The sequence below is a fragment of the Homo sapiens genome, chromosome 13 (assembly GCF_000001405.40).
Source record: "Homo sapiens chromosome 13, GRCh38.p14 Primary Assembly".
In the NCBI taxonomy this organism is placed as follows: Eukaryota; Metazoa; Chordata; class Mammalia; order Primates; family Hominidae; genus Homo; species Homo sapiens.
The window spans coordinates 44,084,914-44,106,680 of NC_000013.11; the positions used below are offsets into that span (position 1 = coordinate 44,084,914).

The 21,767-nt window shown below is 38.4% G+C and overlaps 1 long non-coding RNA gene across 1 annotated transcript in view; it reads right to left on the minus strand.

Annotated features, from left to right (window-relative positions):
• Positions 1–21,177: 21,177 nt before the first annotated feature.
• LINC00390 (long intergenic non-protein coding RNA 390) overlaps positions 21,178–21,767 on the minus strand; it is a 41,645-nt gene continuing 41,055 nt past the window's right edge. The window contains exon 4 of the long non-coding RNA NR_132368.1: positions 21,178–21,544. This is a non-coding gene — a long non-coding RNA (long intergenic non-protein coding RNA 390). The remainder of the gene's footprint in view (positions 21,545–21,767) is intronic.

Sequence of the window (21,767 nt, forward strand, 5' to 3'; positions counted from 1 at the left end):
ATATCAATACATTATTATTAACTAAAGTCCACAGTTTACATTAGGATTCACGCTGTGCTGTGCAGTTCTATAGGTTTTGCCAAATGCATGATGTCATGTATTCACCATTACAGTTTTATATACAATAGTTCCACTAAAATACCTTAAGTTCCACCTATCCATCCCTCTCTCTCTCCCCCCATATTCTTGGTAACCACTGATTTTTTTTTTTTTAACTATCTCTGGAAACTTGCCTTTTCCAGAATGTCTTATATTTGGAATCTTACAGTATATCACATTTTCAGGCCAGTATTTTTCATTTAGCAAAATGTTATTAAAGTTCTTTCTTGTTTTATCATGACTGATAAGGTTTTTTCTTTTTGTAACTAAATAATATTCCATTGCATAATGTACCATACTTTGTTTATTCATTCACCCACTGAAATAAAGTTGCTGTAAACATTCATGGGCAGATTTTTGTGTGAACCTAAGTTTTCAATTAATGTGGGTAAGTAGCAAGAATTGTGATTGCTGGATCATTTGGTAAGGTTATGTTTAGTTTGCAAGAAACTGCCAAACTGCCTTCCAAAATGGCTATACTGGTTTGCATTTGCACCAGCAATGAATGAGAGTTCCTGTTGCTCTACAACCTCACTCAGCATTTTATATGTCAGTGTTTTGGATTTTAGTTACTCTAATAGATATGTAGTAAAATTCAAGCTTATTATTGCTTGAATTTATCTAAGTATGTTTTCAAGCCTGTTTGCATCATACTTGCTAGTGATCTCTTCAGCAAAGCAAGTCATATAGACGAAGCCCCATGTCTGTGTGGGAAGCGAATACCCAAAAGGCATGGTTTTCAAGAGAGAATTGTGAAGTCCTTCAATAAACAATCTACCACGACTTTGTCATTGTTTTTTATCTTGGTTTTGTAGTTTGTGATATAGTGATTCCAAGTTCTGGGCTATAACAACAGTCGACTTCATTACTTGGTTTTAATAACCATTAAGCTAAAAAGATATCTTACAAAGATCTCATTGAAAGTTGTTGATTGAGTTTACAATATAATATTCTGATTTTTTAGTCTCATTCATAATTATATAAAAAAATCTTTTTGTTAAAATTTATTAATTTTCATCTTCTCTGGCATCAATTCATTTTTCTCACAATTTTGAAGGTGGGTATTTTTTTTATTTTCTAAAACATTGATTTAAAAATTCAATGAAACTCTCTGAAAGATTTTTGACATAATAAAAAATTGTCTTGAATTTTATAATGGTACAGACAAGAGATTTCTAAATAGGTTGTCTACATTGTTTTCAGCATCAAGATCACATAACCAAGGAGCATTTTCAAACATCTTTTTTCAAATTCTCTTTCTATAGCACCCATTTCTTTCAAAAGCAATTTCTTTCTTACTTATCATTAAAATTGATGTGTTAATATTTTAAAAATATCAACTAGCTTAACTATTAGCCACTTGTCATGGTAGAAGTGGTAAGCAATTTTGGAACACTAGTATCTTTACAGAAGAAAGTAACTCATTTTAAAATTTAACAGCTCTTCTAAGTAACTTACTATGAGATAACTAAGGAAACTCTGTGTAGTATAAAAGTATTTTGTGGTCATGGTCACAGGCATATGTAAACTGCAAAATATCGGAATATGCTGAAAATTAAAAAGTGCTGGAAGGTGCTGCCATTAACACCTCTGTCTTGTGAAACCCCTGCCAACTGTGGGTTACACAAACCTCTAACACTTGGACCAACTGAGGAAACCTGTATCAGTCCTCATGTTAATGGTGAATTTTACTCCTTTATTTATTATTTAAGATAAGTAAATAGAAATCTGTTATGCTTAGCTCTGGGATGCCTGCACCCTACTTTGGAGACCCTTGTAACAAACAGCCATTGATTTCAAGGTACATGTGAAATGGGTCTTCGAAGGGAATTTCTGGCACGGTGTCAAGGAGGGTTTCTTCAGTGTCAAGTTGTATGGTACTTGTGTCATATTTGACTCAGAATACATTTTTCCATAGGATCCATGTTGTGATGCTTAGGGTCTTGAGTTATTTCTCAGATTTTAAAAAACCTATACCATAACTATTAATCTATAATCTAAACTAATTAAAATACTATTTTGGTCACATAATAAATTAAGTCAATTTTATGAGCCAGCTTTCAAAATTAACCAATATCAGGATAATTCTGAGTGTCAGGAAAGTGTAACCTCCACTTGTTTTACTTTAATTCTTTTGTACCACCATGAATATATCCACCCACTTAGCCCCCTCGATGCTGAATAGAGCAGTGGGACACAGAGAGAGGTTGTCAGGACAATCAAACATCTTCCAAATGGGTTGTACCGTTAACTGTGGAGGAGAGTCATGGGCCCTTTCTTTTCCGAAACCATTCACCTGCCTTTCCTTGCAATGATAATAAATATATTACATGTTGAGAATGACAAAACCAGTTCTTTACTCAAAGGTTCAGTTATAAGTGTAAAGCAGGACTTCTCAGCCACAGCACTGCCGGCATCTTGGGCCACATAATTCTTCGCCGTGAAGCTCCGTCCTGTCGATGTAGGATGTTTAGTAGTATCCCTGGCCTCTACTGCTTCTAGATGCCAGTAGCACTCCTTTCCAGCAGTTACAATGACCAAATGTCCCCTGAGGGGTAAAGCCATCGTTAAGAACCATTGGTCAAAAGGTAAAAGGATCACGGGAGGGGTTGGATGTCCTGCTACTTCTTTCTTCCTTTGCACTAAACAATGAAGGCTGTTTCCCAAGTGAATTTCTTTTCCTTCCCTTCCTAGATCGCAATCCTCTCTTCCTGAAGTCTTATTTTTGTTCCTTTCCTTTCTTGGTATCTTTACTTTCCCTATTTCCCTGGACATACCACTTAACCCTACAAAAATTATCAACCCCCAAATACACTCTTTATCTTGTCAATTTTACAGCCTCCATCTGCACAAGAATATCAAGACTTTTCTCCTTTATCCTGTTTCTGCACCTCTGCTGAGTGGAGGAGTGAGTGCATTTCTCAGTGTTTATGGACTCGAGGGTGGGATGAGGACAGAGGAAGGGATCCAGCCATTTCTCACAACCTCCACTCTTACCGAGCAGGTCAGCACCAGCTTTATGTCTTGCCTGAATCACTTGCTCTAAATGCCCATCAGTCTCTCTGCTTCTACCCTTGCTGTCCACCATCTGTCATCAGCCCAGAAGCTAGCGCTGACCCTTCCTAAACATGAATCAGATCATGCCACTCCTCTGCTCAAAAGCCTGCAAAGGCTCCTCCTTTTACTCAGAATCAAATCCAACATTCTTACAATGGCCATAAGGCCCTGTATGATCTGGCCCTTACGTTTGCTTCTGCAATACCTCAGCTGCTATAGCTGTGCCCTCCTTGCTCGCTCTGCTTCAGCCACACAGAACTCCCTGTGGTTCCTTGACACAGTCTGTGTGCTGCTTAGATCCTGTGCCCTGGTTCTTCCCTCTTCCTGGACTACCCTTGCCTCAGACAGCCATCCAAATAGCCACCTCCCTCACCTCCCTCGGGTCTCTGCTCATGGGGGCAGATCCCTCATGAATGTCTTGGTGCTGTCCTTGCGTTTATGAGTGAGTTCTCACTCTTAGTTTACATGAGAGCTGGTTGTTTGAAAGAATGTGGCACCCCTTCCTCTCTCTCTTGCTTCCCTCTCTGGCCATGTGACATGTCTCTTCCCCCTTCTCCTTCTGCGATGAGTAAAAGCTTCCTGAGTCGTCACTGGAAGCTGAGCAGATGCTGGTCCCATGCTTGCACAGCCTGCAGAACCATGAGCCAAATAAACATCTTTTCTTTATAAATTACCCAGTCTTAGGTATTCCTTTACAGCAATGCAAAATGTACTAACACCCTGGGTATTGTGCAAAATTCACCAGAGAATGGAGGGGGCAAATTTCCACTGAGCATCAGTTTTAACTGATTAGGAAGGCTCATTTAAATGTCATCATAGAAATAAAAAACAGACTTGGGTCCTATGGAAAATTAGTCACAAAGACTGTTCTACTTCATATTTCTTTTTCAAAGAGACACTTTTTTTGTGGCATCAAAGGTCCTTCTTAATCTGGCTACTTTATTACTGCAGTTTCCTCTCTCATGACATTCTACCGCAAAACTTACGTTCCTGCTGTAGTGCTTTCTCAGGTCATGCCGCAGGATAGAGACTGAATGTCATGTGTTGAAATCTGTTGCCTTATGTGCTGGTATTTGGAGGCATCCTAATGTGATGACTTTAGAAGGTTTTTAGGTCATAAGCGCTCCTCACAGGATTAGTAGCTTTAACAAGAGATCCCAGAAATCCCTGTTTCTTCTGCCATGTGAAGACACAGTGAAAAAAGGACTATCTATGAAACAGGAAGTGGACCCTCACCACTGAAACTGTTGGTGGCTTGATCTGGGACTTCCCAGTTTCTAGAACTATAAGAAATAAATTTCTGCTGTTTATAAGCCACACTGTCTGTGGCATTTTGTTATGGAAACCCAAAAGGACTAAGAAACCATGCTTTATCTCACTTCTAAATCTCTACTCATAACATCCTTTTGGACTGAAATTCCTATTGCCCTTTCTTCTCTAACTCTGCTTGGGGAATGTCTGCTCATTCTGGAACCCAACCTTCAGATAATCCATGAGGGCTTTCCTAAAACATTTTCACTCTTCATGCCTCAAGGAGAATTTACCACTGTCTCTGTATTAATTTGCTAGGGTTGCCATAACAAAGTACCACAAACCGCATGGCTTATGTAACAGAAATGGATTGTCTCATAGTTCTGGAGGCTCGAGCTCTAAAATCAAGGTGTCAGCAAGGTCAGTTCTTTCTGAGGGCTGTAAAAGAATGATTTGATTCAAGGTTCTCTCTTTGGTTTGCAAATGGCCTTCTTCCTATGTCTCTTCACATCTCCTCTCTCTGTGTGTGTCTATGTCCAAATTTCTCCTGGTTATGAGGGCACCAGTCCTATTAGATTAGGGCCCACCCCAGTGACTTCGTTTTAACTCTGTAAGATTATCTCTCTAAAGATCCTATCTCCAAATAAGGTCACATTCTGTTGTACTGGGGGTTAGGACTTCAACTCATGGATTTTGGGGGAAATAATTCCACCCATAGCATAAAATAAATATTTTATTTATTTTCCTCTATTTGTACTGTAATAATTTTTTGAACTAGAGTATTTGTTTCTGCCTGACATCTTCCACTAGTGCGAACCACATTTGATTTTTCTTTATTCCTGACCCAGTATAATTCCTAGCACAAGAGGCTGATTGCTAAACTCAGTTGGTCAGTTTTCTTTGTTTTGTTTTTTATTTTTGAGGCAGAGTCTGATTCTCTGTCACCCAGGCTGGAGTGCAGTGGCACCATCTCGACTCACTGCAACCTCCATCTCCCGATTCAAGTGATTCCCGTGCCGCAGCCTCCTGAGTAGCTGGGACTATAGGTGCACGCCATTATGTCCAGCTAATTTTTGTATTTTGAATAGAGACAGGTTTTTGCCATGTTGGCCAGGCTAGTCTCAAACTCCTGACCTCAAGTGATCTACCTACCTTAGCCTCCCAAAATGCTGGGATTACAGGCGTGAGCCACCACACCCTCAATGGTTGGTTTTCTGATTGAATGATCAACCAACAAAAATCCAAAATGATGGTAGTCAACCTTCCCCATTTAATGTTTAAGAAGGACGATGGAAATACCTGTGTGGAATTCTATATTTACCTTTTCTTATAGGTCCATCTCCCCCATTAGACTATGATTTCTTTGAGGATAGAACCATGTTTTATTCTTGATATAATAGAAATCATTAATTAGTAGCTTATCTGCTGTCTACCATACTCTTCCTTTTTACAAACAAAAGCTACATTTTGTTGGGGAAGGCAACATGTCTCAGACTCCTCTGCAGATAAATGAGGCTATCGGATGGCATTTTGGCCAATAAGAAGTAAATGGAAATGTGGACAGGACTTCCAGGAAAAGAGGAGAGGGCCCAGCTGGCATGTTTTCTTGCCCTTTGTCATTTCCCATTTTCCTATCTGGAATGCAGAGGCAGTGCTCAGAAGTGAAGCAACCAGTCTGTAACAGGTAAATAGAACACAGTAAAAATGGCTAAGCAGAAGGATAGAAAATATCTTTACTTCAACCTCATTCTTGAAAGATGGTTTCCTAGTACAAGATTCTAAGTTGACATTTATATCCTCTCAGCATGAAGAAATTTTTGCTGTCATTATTGCTGTTGAGAAGTTAGCCACCACTCTAATTGCCTTTTCTTTGTAGGTGGATGTGTCTTCTACTTGCTGTTTTAAAAATCATTTCCTTCCTCTCTTTTGGTGTTTTGCTTCACTATAATATGTTTAAGTATGAATTTCTCTTGTTTATCAGACTTGTGACTCATTGGCCTTCTTGAACATGAGGATTGGAGTCTTTTGACAGCTAAAAGCAATTATCAGTCATTATCTCTCCAAATATTGTATTTTTCTCATTATCTGAATTATATCTCTCTAAAGCTTTCACTAATATATGTCAAATATTCCTACTGTATTCTCCATCTCTCTTTACTCTCTTTCATACTTTCTATCTTTTAATGTCTCTGGACTGTATTCTGTATAGTTTCTTTAGCTACATCTCCCAATTGACTAATTCGCTCTCTAGCTGCATCTGTCTTATCTGCTGTTTACATTGCCTTATTAATTTCAAGTTGTATGTTTATTACTTCTAGAAGCTCTAAAACTTCTCTAGTGACTCCTTTACAAATATATTTGGTTCTTCTTAGAAAATTTCTTATTGTTGATATTCTTCCTTTCCTTTATTTCTCAAAACATTAAATATATTTTATCTTTAGTATCTCATAATTCCAGTATATGAAGTCTTTGCAAGTTTGATTCTTCTGTTTATTTTTTCTGCTGGTTTTTACTTATGGCTTCTTTGTTCATTAAGTGTTTTGTGAATTTTGACTGTAGACTGCTTATTTTTCTTATAACATTTTCAGTGGGAATTCTTTGAGGCCTGACTTCAAATTCCTCTAAGAGTATTTGGATTTGTTTGGCTTAATAATATGATGAAAGACACCACTAACATGGGGCCACTTTATATTCTTAATTTTTCTTTGAAACACAAAGACATTGTGAATTAGACAGCAAACCCACCGTGAAGTCAGGTTTAATGGTTTGAATTCTCAGGAGAGATTCCCCTCATCCTCTACCCAGCACCCAGGTTGATCCAGGCAAATTTCTTTGTTGTCCCTTCTAATGGTGGTTTTACTCCTTGTTTACTATTACACTGAAGGTGTGGCCCTTTGGATACCAGCTTTATGTTGGGCGTTCTCTATAGGCTTCATTTCCTTATATGGACCTTAAGTTTCACTTCCTGACTCCTCTGATTTCACTAGACTAGCTCAAATTTTCCAGAGTTCAGCAGAAAATCTCAGAAAGAAAGATAACTTTGGCAATCTCTTTCTCCATGGGGTCTCTGCTTTCACTTTGTTTTTGACCTCTGTGGATTCCTTCCTTATGCACCAGTCATTAGATTCTTTCTTCTCCAGCATTATGGTTGTTTCAGTTACCACATCCTTCAAGGCTATCTACAAGCCATACCACAAGAAACAGAAACAAAAATTGTTTGTTTACATTGGTGAAAAATTTGCAAATAATCTGAATATTTACCCATAAAAAATTTATGGTACGTATACATGTATGAGATGTACATATAAAATGTCATGAAATCATGAAAAGGAATGTGGTCGATGTACAGGTACTGGCATAAAAATATGTTTAACATATACTTTTAAATGCAAAGAGCTAGTTGCACAACAATATACATAACATGACTCTGTTTATGGTTTATGTTTTAAAAAATGAGAAACATATGTTCTTTTGCAAAGACACGTTTTTATTTAAATGCACAGAAAAAGATCCAGATGCTTACAGACTAAATGTAAAGAAATTTTATTTATACCTTTTTTTAACTTTTTAAAATGAAAATGTATTCCTGTACTACTTGAGTTTATTTAAAAATAAACAAGTTTAAGAGATTATAAGTTATAAGGCATATGAAGCACTTAGTATAGTGCCTGACACATCATAAGAACGAACTTAACAAATTTTTGCTTGTATTGTTATTTTCATTTAAAAGAAAGAATTATTGATACATAGTGGAGTATTGTATGATATGATGGTGGATTGTGCTGCTCTACTAATCAGTAGCAGACCTCAGATTGGAAACTTCATTTTTTTTTTTTTTTTTTTTGAGACGGAGTTTCGCTCTTGTTGCCCAGGCTGGAGTGCAATGGTGCAATCTCGGCTCACTGCAACCTCTGCCTCCCAGGTTCAAGCAATTCTCCTGCCTCAGCCTCCCTAGTAGCTGGGACTACAGGCATGTGCCACCACGCCCGGCTGATTTTTGTATTTGTAGTAGAGATGGGGTTTCTCCATGTTGGTCAGGCTGGTCTTGAACTCCCGACCTCAGGTGATCTGCCCACCTCGGCCTCCCAAAGTGCTGGGATTATAGGCATGAGCCACCGCGCTGGGCCTGGAAACTTCATCTTTTGATTAAAAATACCTATCTATTTCCAAACTATAATTTATAGATCACTTGTTTCACTTGCTGCTTTCAGATGTTAATAGGTATTATTCAAAAAAATCCAGGATAATGTATTTTTAAATGCTGGGTTACACAACTATAACAATTTTTGTTTGTTTTGTTTTTTAACAGTCAGAGTTATAAAATTCTAATATACATTATGAGTCTCAAAGAGGGAGATCTAGTATAAAACACTCCTCAACTTACTGAAACCTAGAATCCTTTCTCTCAAGCATCCCCAGGGACTTCTCTTCTATGAAACACCCTTTTGGAAATACTTCACTAGACCATAATACACATAACAGATATCACAATATCCATTTACTGACTCTGAACAAATTGTGAGTTTTTATAGTCAAGTTGTCATGATGTTTAATGGATAGTGCATTCTCTTTTGTCCTTTAATTCGTCTAGAACAGATTCCAAGTATAAACAATGACTTGTTTTGTAACTGAAGGCAAGAGACCTTCCCTGTCCATGTCTCAGTATACGAAACACTTCTTTGGATTAGCATTGACTAATGGATGGAAAATATGATGCATCTAGAGCTGTTTCTTGGCATCAGATAACCTAAAGCTAAACAACAGGGCAGGCATGAAAAATAAGAGGAGACAAAAACAAACCCCTGATGTCCTTGTTCCTGCTGACTGTTACTACACAATTAAGATCCCTGCTGATTGGGAAAAAAAAAAATACACTACCATCTGTAATTGGATGAAAAAATATTTTTTGCACATGTTTGGACTGTATAAAGGAAAACTCAATGAAGTCAGAAGATATCAAAACAAAATATGCAATTCATTATCTCTAAGCTATATAAATAAGCTATGTAAATAATGAATGAATGTATACATCTTGCTAAGTATCTCCTTCCTCCACCTTTTACATCTGCTAATTGTAACATGTTTGCAGAGAGCTGTTATCTTGGCATTCTTCATCCTTTTGAAAATAAACCATTCAAACTTGTTAATTTGTTCTTACAGCATCAGTTAACCAAAGGGCAGCATGGAGAAGAAGAGATTGTTACTGGCGGCAGGTATATGAGTTACTGGTGGCAAATCCATACGGGTCTGCAACAACCTCAATTCTTGCCTCCTCAGAAGAAAGAATTTGACTGAGGGGCATAAAGCAGAAAAAGAGACCAAGGCAAGTTTCAGAGCAGGAGTGGAAGTTTATTAACAAGGCTTTAGGGCCGGGTGTGGTGGCTTACGCCTGTAATCTCAGCACTGTGGGAGGCCGAGGTGGGTGGATCACAAGGTCAGGAGTTTGAGACCAGCCTGGCCAACATGGTGAAACACCATCTCTGCTAAAAATACAAAAATTAGCCAGGAGTGTGGCAGGCCTCTGTAATCCCAGCTACTCGGGAGGCTGAGGCAGGAGAATTGCTTGAACCTGGGAGGCGGAGGTTGCAGTGAGCTGAGATTGAGTCACTGGACTCCAGCCTGGGCAAAAGAGTGAAACTCTTGTCAAAAAAAAAAAAACCCACAAAAAAGCAACAAACAAACAAACAAACAAACAAACAAAAAACAAGGCTTTAGAAAAGGAAAGAACACTTGGAAGAACGTGAAGTGGGTGATGTGAAGAACAAGACTTAGATTATTCCAGATTGTGGGTGAACAACAAGTGTGGTGTTTAACCATGATCCTAGGACTTTATAGGCTGCCATCTTGCATCCCTTTCCCGTGATTTTTCTCTTGAGGTGAGCTGCCCACATGTGTAGTACCCTCCTTACCCTTGGGAAGTGAGCACACACAGGGTGTTTAGGAAGTTGTATGCATGGCCATCTGAGGCTTTCTTCCCTTTTCTAGTGGAGTGCCCCCAGAAGGTCATATTCTACCATTTTGTCTCTTAATGCGTATGCCCAGGAAGTTGCTTCTCCCTGACATCGGCATTCAATGAACACTTTAATGTTAACAGCTGTGGATCAGCTGGAGACTGTCTCTCCCCGGCTCTGGCCACATTTTTTAGAGAGGCAGTATGATAATTGTTGAACCATCACCTGACATTCCTAGTGGGTGGCAGAGAAAAGCCCTGTCTTGCCTCCCTCATGTCTATGTCTAACTACCTGCAACAAGAAGATAAAACGAGACCCCCAATGTCTTTGTTTCTGCTGACTGATAGCATCTTCAGACAGAACCATCCTTAGGCACATGCATTTTTACTATGAATGGTATATTAGGAATCGGGAGAGAATACAAGCTGAAGATGTAGAATGGGGACTTGTGACTTCAATAGAAAAGAATTGCTTCCATTTTTTAACATTGGGGGTTAGGATAGTTTTGCTTCTGTAGTATGTGCAACTGGGCTGTCAAGCCCAGTTGATTATTCCAGATTGTGGGGGAGAAGGAGGTCTTTACTTCCAAGAATTGTCTGAAAAACAGAGAACTCTCCCTGGAACATGATTTTTTAAAAGCCTTCTAGAAGGAAAAGACCTCTTTGGTGACATCAAAGGGCTTCCTCATTCTAATCCATAAAGAAGTTCAGTTGAAGTGAATAGAAGTTCCTCCATGGTCTGAGATTGTAACATTACTTTTTTTTCTCAACTATGTAGAAAGCAAAAAGTGATAATTTGGATTCTTTAATTTTTTAAGCACAAAAGTACTAAGTGCAGTGTTTCCTGACCCTTGCCTCTGAGTGGGTTAACGAGGTGAGGGCACTGGTGAGAAGGAGGTATATAGATTACTGTCTGTGACCAGGAAGTTCTCCATTCTGATAAGGCTGAATTTGATCATTCTATTAATAAATGCTGAAGTCTGGAATATGTCTTCTATTGTCCTATATTTGTTAAAATTGTTCATCTGTGCTCTCTTTCTACTCATGAAAATGACAGTGAAAAATAGCTGTCCATTAACACAAAAGCAAAATGTAATGCAGTAATGATGCTTGAAGCTTCCTGCAATGTTAGAGTTTTTAGAAATCATTAATAATAAATTACCAGCAATGCAACGGGCAGCTGATAACTCCTTTCTTTGGTAGGTAAAACTCTCCATTATAAAATAATAATACACTAAGTCATACGCCATAGCCTTCAGCAATTTTCTTAAAGTTATTTTACTTTAAGACCAGTGTTGCCAACATTGAATTCATTTTACAGATAAGGAAACTGAGGCTATTTTACCCAATGATAATGTCGGAATGAGTCAGACTATTGTAATTGAAATCACTAGCTTAGTTCCAGATTTAAATTAAGGCCTCTCACATATTTGTAAATGTGACAGGCACCAGTAGAGATCATTGGTTAATGAGTGGAGGTTGGAGTGGAGATAGGGTTCCATTAATCACAAACTCTAGGCCATAGTTCTCAATGTGTGGTTTGGGGCCATATGAGGAGTAAGAAAATGTACTCTTGGAGGAAAGGAAACAAACACAAAGCTTGCAAACAGGATGGCAAAACACTCTCGAGTCAAAGACCCTTGTTTATCAGCTCAAGGGCTCAATATTCAGTTATCAGTGTGTAGCAGGGTCCAAGGCATGCAGCAAGTCCAAACATGCTCTGAGATGCTTCTCTCCTCTCATTTCCCTTAGTTCCATTCAGCAATTATCCAAGAACCTGATGGCTTCCTCTTTATGACAGAGTCTGCAAGAATACAAAAAGGAAATAAAAATGGCCATCCAATTCACAGAGCCCACATCCAATTTCCAGAGCCCACAAAGAGGAACTTCATGAAGGATAGTTCTGTCTGGTGCTATCATCCAAGACTTTATCTTTGTAATATGTGAAATCAGTCTGTTAGATAAAGATTAGCTCACACACTCAGTTTTTTTTCTGAAGAAGAACTTGTAGGAAGGTGAATTCTAAAATACAAATTGTGTGACTTTTGGCAGGACACTTCCCTCTGTGCCTTTGCTTCCTTATAGATAATGGGAGGTGGAAGGATTAAAATAAGTCAGGATCCTAAATCACTGGCCCACCAGAGAGCAGTGGCTTAAGCACAATAGCTTAAGTTCCTCCCTGCTTCAAAATTTGTTGGTGCTTTTATGTTAAGCAGCATTGATATTAAGCAGTCATGGTTCATTGTTCCACCCAGTTCTAGGCTAGATATATATAGCCTGATACTTTATAGACTTCTAAGGGATGATCCTCAAACACATCAGAAATATAAGAAACCATAGAAATAAGTTCCTGAACATCTACCACTGCTTACGAAATAGTTGTAAATCATTTGTCTCCAACTATATTCTTCATATAGTTATAAAATTCAGGACTCTATTCCAAGTGAGGAAGCAGATCTTCTCTTCAGTTCTGCAACTGTTGAAACTTTAGGTAGACTCAATAATAATGACTTAGGGCAAAACCTTAAAATTCAAGCTCTTTTAAGGAAGAACACATAATTTTAACCACATAAACAATCTTACAATCCTCATTCAGATCAGATACCATAACACTTTCTTATCAGACCTTAATGAATAGAAATGCAATTTCTTATAACTTAAATTCTGAAAGAATTACGTGACATGAGACAGAAGAAGGAAAAATGTATTGAACAAAAAAAGCCTGATACATCCTCATAAAGTTATTGGTCAATATTCCAAAAAATAGAGAAATAATCATTAATATATGCCTTTTTTTTCTGGATATAAATAGACTTCACTTCAGGCTGTCATCTTCACTGTGTTCTTTTTTTTTTTTTTTGAGATGGAGTCTTGCTCTGCTGCCCAGGCTGGAGTGCAGTGGTGCAATCTCAGCTCACTGCAACCTCCACCTCCGAGATTCAAGCAATTCTCCTGCCCCAGCCTCCCGAGTAGCTGGGATTACAGGCATGCACCACATGCCTGGCTAATTTTTGTATTTTTAGTAGAGATGGGGCTTCACCATGTTGGTCAGGCTGGTCGCGAACTCCTGACCTCGTGATACACCCGCCTCAGCCTCCCAAAGTGCTGGGATTACAGGCATGAACCACTGTGCCCGGCCGACTGTGTTCTTTCTTATGTAAAGAATTTCAAAATGACCTGCCAACAGGGTCCCAACCAGCCGGAACAAAAGAAATGGCATCACCCACCCTGGTGTTCTAACAAGAAATTGCTTTGGAAGAGCTGATTGGCCTCTGTTTTCATATGACACCTGATTCATATCCTTGACAGAATTAATTTTCAATGAAAGGAGAGCTCATTACTAATTCATTGAAATGGCCCTGTGCATTGAGAGCCAATTCTCCTAAACTTGACTTGAACATCCTTGTGTGGCATCGTCCAGGAAAACAATCTTGCCTCCTTGAATGGCCTTTAACACCTAGAGCCAGGAAAATTCCCTGACACATTTAGACTCTGACTGGGGTCAATGTTCAGCACCCCACAAGCACTCCTAGGGATAGTGACACATTTTCCATCTTCTCTCTTGTTTCCATTACTCCCTGGGAAGGTTCACATTAGGCAAGCATCAATATTTTGATGCAGTGACATGATAAATATCCACGGTCAAGGCTTGCAATTGCATTTTTGAAATGTCAGACAGAAGGGAGTAAAACAAGCAAATAAAACCAACCAAAAACACCACAAAGAGAAAATATATTAAGTGTCTTGAGAGATGTCCTATAGAACAATCCCTTACAGAAAAAAAAAAGAAAAACCTCAATCTCAACATGTCTAAAACTGAATTTATTATTTTCCCTCCAAAACCCGGTCTGTGTTTCTTAGAGAATGGCATCACTGTTAAACCCACTTGTACAACCAAAGAACTAAAAAGACATCCTTGATGACTCCCTTGCCCTCAGCCACCATGTAGAATTCTTCACCAACGCCTGTTGATTTTACCCCTTAAATATCTCTTGACTCTGACTCCTCTCCATCTCCACTGTCATCACTATCATCCTTCATCTCTAGTCACTGGTTGTGTTAGGTCATTCTTACACTGCTATAAAGAAGTATCTGAGACTGGGTAATTCATAAGAAAAGAAGTTTAATTAGCTCACAGTTCTGCAGGCTCTACAGGAAACATAGCAGCATCTGCTTCTGGGGAGGCCTCAGGAACAATCCAATCATGGCAGAAGGCAAAAGGGGAGCAGGCACATCAAATGGTGAGAACAGGAGAGAGAGAGAGGTACGGGGGAGGTGACACACTTTTAAATGACCAGATCTCACAAAAACTCACTACTACAAAGACAGTACCAAGACATGGGGGATCTGCCCCCATGATCCATCTGCCCCCATGATCTCCCACCAGGTCCCCACCTCCAGTGCTGGGGATTACAATTCAACATGAGATTTGGGTGGGGACAAATATCCAAACTATATCACTGGTAAAAACTGCTGGATTGTCTAGCCTCCTCTGTTAACTCTGATCTTCTACAATTTATTCTTATGCCACAGCTAGAATAATCTTTTTCAAACATAAATCCAATAGTAATATTGCTTTCTGGATAAAGTCCAAGATCTGTACATGACTGACAAAATTCTGAATGTTCTGGCCTGACCCACGTCTTCAGCTTGACTTTGAGCTACTTCTCTTCATACACTGTGATCCACTGTGCTTTAGTCACTTGGACCTCCTTCCAGTTCTTCAAACTCATATGTTTACTTCCAACCACAGCATCTTTGAGGATGACATGTGCCCAATGTCTAATGCTCTTTGGTTCACACTTCTTCTTCCATTCACCTAATTAGCCATTATTCATCCTTCAGAGCTGAGATCAAGTGTCACCCTCTCAGAAAGGCCTTTCTTGATTCCCTCAGTCCAGCCATGTTCATTGTCATAAAACTGTCTTCCTTTACTTCAGAGCAAACAGCTAATGTGCAATTTTACATTCATTCATCCTTTAATCTATTGTAAGTTCAATATAGGTGGGGACTATGTCTGACTTTTTTTTTTAATCATTGTTTGTTTATTCTACCAGTTTCAGTGAGAAATATGTTTAAAAGCTTCCATTGTGATTGTGAATTTTCCTATTTCTGCTTTAATTGTATCTTTTTTTATACATTCTGAAGCTACACGATAAAACACACAAATTTAAGCCTATTTGATCATCCTAGTGGATTTTCACTTTTACAGAGGGTCCTTCTTGACTTGCAATTTACTTTGTTTTAATATTAGTATAACTATGGCAGCTTTCTTTTAGTTAGGGTTTGTATGGTGTATCTCTCTCCATTATTTCACTTTTTTTTCTGTATCTTGTATTCAAGATGCTTCTCTTGTAAGCATTGCATTATTGGGTCTTGTTACATTTTAATACAGTCTGACAATATAAATGTTAAGAATTATTTACATTTAATATAATTGCTGAAACCCTTGGGGTTTTTTATGTTATTTTTTCCAATTTGTTTCATCTGTTCTACATTTTTTCCTTTACTTTCTTTTGAGTTAATCAAATTTGTTTTGCTATGCCATTTTTTCACATCTTGGCAGTTATAAATAATCTTTTTACATACTTTCAAAGGTTATGTTAGAGATTCAACATGCATTCTGCTTTGGTTAAAGTATAATACAAATTTGTACTTTTATCAATTTCTGTACAATTGAAGCATATTTGAACATTTTGACTTTATCTTCTTTCTGCCTTTTAGGCTATCATTGTCATGTATTTTAAATCTACATATTAAAAATTTAAAACCTTTATTATTAGTAGTATTGGCTTATACAGTCAATATTTATTTAGATTTACTTACATATTTATCTTTCTTTTACTATTCATTTTTTGCTACAATTTTTTGCTGTCATTTAGCATCACTTTTCTTCTGCCTGAAAAACTCCCTTGTGTATTTCCTTTAGAGCAGGCATTAGTGACAAATTCTTCCGGAAAATACAGTGTTCAAGGCTGTGGGTCCAGCTACAATTTTGCTGGAAACACAGAGAACAGAGGACTTGTTGGGCTATATTCTATGATTATGAGATTAATGAAATCTAGACTTCAGGAAATTCTATAGGTCAAACAGCCTTAGATTTTCAACAGATAAAGTCTGAGGAGAAGAAAGGAATAGAAGGAGGTGCAGTGGATTAAAAGAGATTTATATATCAAACATTTTTTAATGGGCAATTCTAGACTATAGTGTCTAGGGATGCATATGTGGGTAATAAAGCTATAAACACAAGAAAGAGATTACAATAAAAGTGTAAAGGTTGCTTCTAGGGAAGGTGGTGCATTGTGATCAGGATAGCACACAAGGAACATTTCCAAGTGGCTGGAAAAGTTCTATTTCTTTATGGCAGTTACAAGAGTGTCTGCCTTAAAATAATTTATTAAGCTATACATTTGTTTTGAGTGGTTTCTGTCTTTGTGTTTTTTTATTTTACAATAAAAATATACAAAGTAAAAAATGAATTAGAAATTAGTAAAATTTCAGCTTCAGTATTTTTATTATCTTACTTTGGCAGGGATATTTTACAGTTTAGGATGACCTACCATTGTCTTTTGCATCCATAATTTTGGTTAAGAATTCAGCTGTCAGCCTTACTGTTCTTAAAGATAATGTGTCCTTTTTCCTCTAGCTATTAACATTTTATCTTTGTCTTTGGTTTTCAACAATTTTATTACTGTGCACGCTGCTGAAGTTTATTTGTATTTGTCTATCATTGGATTCATAGTGTTTCTTATAACTGTGAATTCAAATATTGCTTCTACCCATTCTTTCTTTTTTCCTCTTTCTGACATTACGATGTCCTAAATATCTCTTACTGTCTTTTTATCTTGTTTGACTCTCTTTTCCTCTCTGTGGTTCAGTCTAGATATTTTCTACTGACCTATATTCTAGTTCATTATTTCTTTCTTCAGCTATGTTCAGTCTGCTCCTAATTAATTTCTTGAATTTAAATTTTATTTATTGTGTTTCAGTTCTAGAATTTCCTTCTTATTCTTTTTTATAGATTTTAGTTTTCCGTTGAAATTCTCCATCTCATCAACAACTTTCATTCATATATTTAATAAAGTATTTAAACTCTGTGTCTGATAACTCCAGGATCGATATAGTATCTAGATCCCCTGTGGATCTCTTTCTATTGTCTCCAAATGATTTTTGGTCACTTGGCTTATCTCCTTGTATTCTAGAATATTTTTAAAAAGAATGCTGGGCTTTATTCTTTGAAAAATTATAGAGATTATTTGAAGTTCTGGATGATGTTATCTTTCTTCCTAGAGGTTAATGCCAGGCAGTTAAGTGAACCAAGTCACCTTAGTCCAACTGGGCTGAGCTGCTTTTACTTTTTGTGAGAGCTGGTCTATACCTAGTTTGCCTTTATGCTTAGATTGCTGTCTTTGAGGGATCCCAGCTGAAAGCCTAGGGTGTTTCTCAGTGCCTCTCCTCATTGAGCCATGACCTCCAATTTTGTTCATGAGATTGTGAAAACTATCTTCAGCCACTTATGAGCAGGCTAATGCTTCAAGGACAAAGTAGAACTGCATTTTGATCTTAACTTCTTTGTATTTATCTTCTCTCTGGAATTTTGTCTACTGATGCCCTTGCTGCCTTGATAGCTCTCATAATCCTTCAAGTAGTTTTTAAAATATATTATCCATTTTTTCCCAGTTCTTTGTGAAGTGTTGGTCTAATAGAAGGTAGTCTGTCATAGTTACAAAAAAAAGTCTCTTTAACTACTATTTATTGATCATTTACTCAGAGGTCCTGTTATTTCCTCACATCACTCTGAGTTTTTTCTTTATTGAACTCTCCACAGTTTATAATTATTTTTATGTTTCTTTATTTGACATCTGTTTCCCCCTTAGACTGAAAACTCAGTGGGCCATCAGGAATCATGTGTTTTGCTTGTCACTGAATCCTTGATATCTAGCCCAGAATAGGCACTCAATAAATATTTTTAAAAAATGAATATAGGCTCTTGGTCTAAGCATTTTACATACTTTATCTCATTTAATCCTTTCCACAACCATATGAAGCAGGTATTGTTAGCTCTGTTTTAGTGAAGAGATAACAGAAAATTAGAGAGATAAGTAACTTCATAAGGTCATTATATGTAAAATGTTCTGTATAACTCCTTTTCCTGGACGCCTCATCATTATGCTTCTACAACCTGTTATGTGCAGCCAGCTTTTTATTTTTCAATATACGGGTTATAAAATGTGTTCCAGTTCCTTCTCTTCATTTTCTTCTTCCTCCTTTTGTTAATATTTCATGCCTTGTTTTTTTAGGCCTTCAGTGCTCGTAAGCATTTCGTTACCCAGTGAGCTGGAAAAATAAAAGACGATGAAGCTCACATAGCTGAGCAAGGAGTCTATGCTCCAAAACACTAAGAGGAGGGTGCGTCCTCCCCTCCCCTCCGGCCACAATTGGTAGCTTTGGTAATTAGACTCATTCATTTAAAATTTTTAAACATTTAATTTAATTTTCTTTTAAAATACACTTTATTTTTTAGAGCAGTTTTAGGTTCACAGCAAAAATGAGCAGAAAGTACAGAGAGTTCCCACATACCCCCTCACACACATACAGAGTGATGCATTTGTTACCATCGATGAACCCACATTGGCTCATTCATTTTTATGCTGTATAAAACCATCTGGGATCGTGTGTTTGCCCAGTTTCAGCTACCTTGTGTTAAGAGTCCTCTTTTGACCTGCAGTTAAAATTAAAAAGTCTCTGCTTCTTTGTCAGCATTCATTCTGTTCTCAACATGCTGCAGTAAAGTTCACTTACCCCTGAACTTTGACCATTCTAGCACATTTCAGCGTTTGCATGCTCAAAACCAAGCAATTAACTTTAATATGCATTCTTAAAGGAAATCAGGTACAATCTCTGGAAGCCGTAAAGGATCACATTGTCACATTGAGTCTGAAATCTTTGTGATGCTGCTCACACTCATGGTGCTCTCTCCTCCTGCCCAACAGACCAAGGCCTGGCTCAGGTCCCACCACAGCTGTGAAGCCTGTTCTAACAAGCTCCATCCCACAACAATTTTTTTTTCATCTTTGGCATCATATCTGGTATCAAACGCTCCCAGAGAAAGTCATTAACCCTCTCTGAGCTTCAGTTCTCTTTTCTGAAAATGTGGATCAAAACACCTCCTGACAGGCTTGTAGGTCAATTTACATGCGCTCAAATGTGTCCAGGACAGGCAGGAAACATCGGTACTCCCCCTCTCCTTGCCTGCCCAGGGAAGTTTTCCTGGAGGACAGGTTCACAATGTGGGAGACAAAATTGTAAAACTATATGCAAATGCGCTTGGACACAGATTATAGCAGAGAAACAACACCTCTGTGCTATCAAGTTCCTTCTGGATTTGTAAAGAAAGGGGACTAAGAAGTCGCCGGAGCAGAGCAGGGGAAAGATAGTAGAGCTGCCAGTGAAAGTCAAAGAAAAAGTGGGGAACAGGACACCATGCGGCCCAGGAATATCCATCCATTTGTGGGCAAAGGGAAATGGAGCACAAAATGGCTACTCATCAAGACAGGTAGCCCTTTGCAGTCTCCATCTATGTGGAGACTGAGCTTCCAGTCACAGTACACAAAGGACATGGGTGAGATTTGGACAGATAAGGAAGAGGAAAATGATTTCTGAAGGGGGAAAACAGAGAGATCCGTAACTCTAGGGCACAAAATAAAGGTATTTAAGCACTCTCACAGCACACCGAGACAATGAGCAAACCCACTTGACGGGGGTCAAGTGCCTGGAAAGTCAGAAGGAAGCTGATAGTAAAGGATTTTGAATGTCTGGTTCAGGACAATGGGTTTTATCCTGCTATCAGTGGGGAGCTATTGGGGAACTTTGAGCTGGCGTATCACGTGATGACTGAGATACTTGAGCAGCACACACTGCAGGGGAAAGAGGCCAGAGAGCAAGTGCAAGGTTCTTAAACAGTCCTGGTAGGAGCTGAGAAGGCCTCACCTTAAATGGTTACAATGCAAATGGAGCAGAAGGAATTTGTGTTCAAGCCCTGCCTTTTAAAATATTCCCGTGGCCTCAATTTCTTCTGGATTCTTTCCCAATACCACTATATGGCAGACTCCAGGTGTTTAAATATGTTTTTTTAAAGTTGGTGAGCATTTTATGTATATGTGTGTGTGTGTGTGTGTGTGTGTGTGTGTATTTAAAAGTAAAAGAAGATAATAAAATGGCCTTAATTCTGAGGATTTATTTAAAAAGAATTGTAAAAGAAAGAATTGGCAAACCTTCTCCATAACCCACCATCAAAGAGAGATCCAGAATATAGTATAATGTAACATAAAAACCGGTGCTATTCCACTCAGGAAGCAAAGAGCATAACTATGACAACCATTGTGATTTTTCTTTTATAGTAGACAGGCTCAGCACAGGCAGAAAGAAACAAAAGCTTCTTAGCATTCATGAGTATATTGTTCCAAAATGCAGAAGGTGAAAGTCATGGTCATGGAGAAGTCAAGTGACCTGGGAAGAGAATTGGCCATGGCTCCCCAGGTGAGGAGGAGACAGAAATGAAGCTGGGAGACTTACACCCTTCAACCTCGTTCATGGAACCAAGCTCAAGCCTCCCTCCCCTGCTCGCAGTATAAATTGAACAGAGAAGTATCAATGAGTATCCAACTGCAGGGCTTAAGGAGGAATATTTTGGGACATTTCAAGATGCAGAAAAGGATCCAAACATCAGTTCTCAAATGAACGATGAAACACAGCTACCATTTGTTGAGATCCCTTCTGTGCCAAACTCTAAATGCCCTTCTGCTGTCATGTCACCTAATTCTCACCATCGAAGTGGATTTGGGGATGGTCTTCATCCTATTTTATACATAAAACTATGAAGCTCAGAGACCTGCAGTAAGTAGTCCAAGACCTTAGTGTAGAGCCAGGATTAAAATCCAGCTATCCCTCCCTCCAAGGACCTATTTGCTTGCCTTGCTGTGGCATTGAATATTATCACACATAAGGCTTATAAAGTGGGGAGAAGACACCTTTATGCAGTGCCTGTGTTTTTTTGGCCTCATTTGCGTCTTATTTTCTAGTCCAAAACATCACAGTCCTCCCACTGCACAGCTGCCTCTACCTGGCCTGTGCCTTCTTGCGAAAAGCTCTTTGGTGTGGCTGGCCAGACTTCAGAACTGCATGTTTCTGTTGAAGAAAAAAAAGTCTGAGTTAGGAATTTAGTCTCACTTAGACTCAGCCCTTTGGCCTGAATGCAGAGAAAGAAGTCCAAGTCCCTGAAGTCCAGAGAAGGAAGAGTTTCTGGAGCTAAGCCAAGGTGACCTTTCAACAAGGAGCACCCTTTATTGAGGCAAAGAACAGAATCTTTGCTCTTTTGCTGAAGGTGCCCCCTCCACTTAGAAAACTGTTT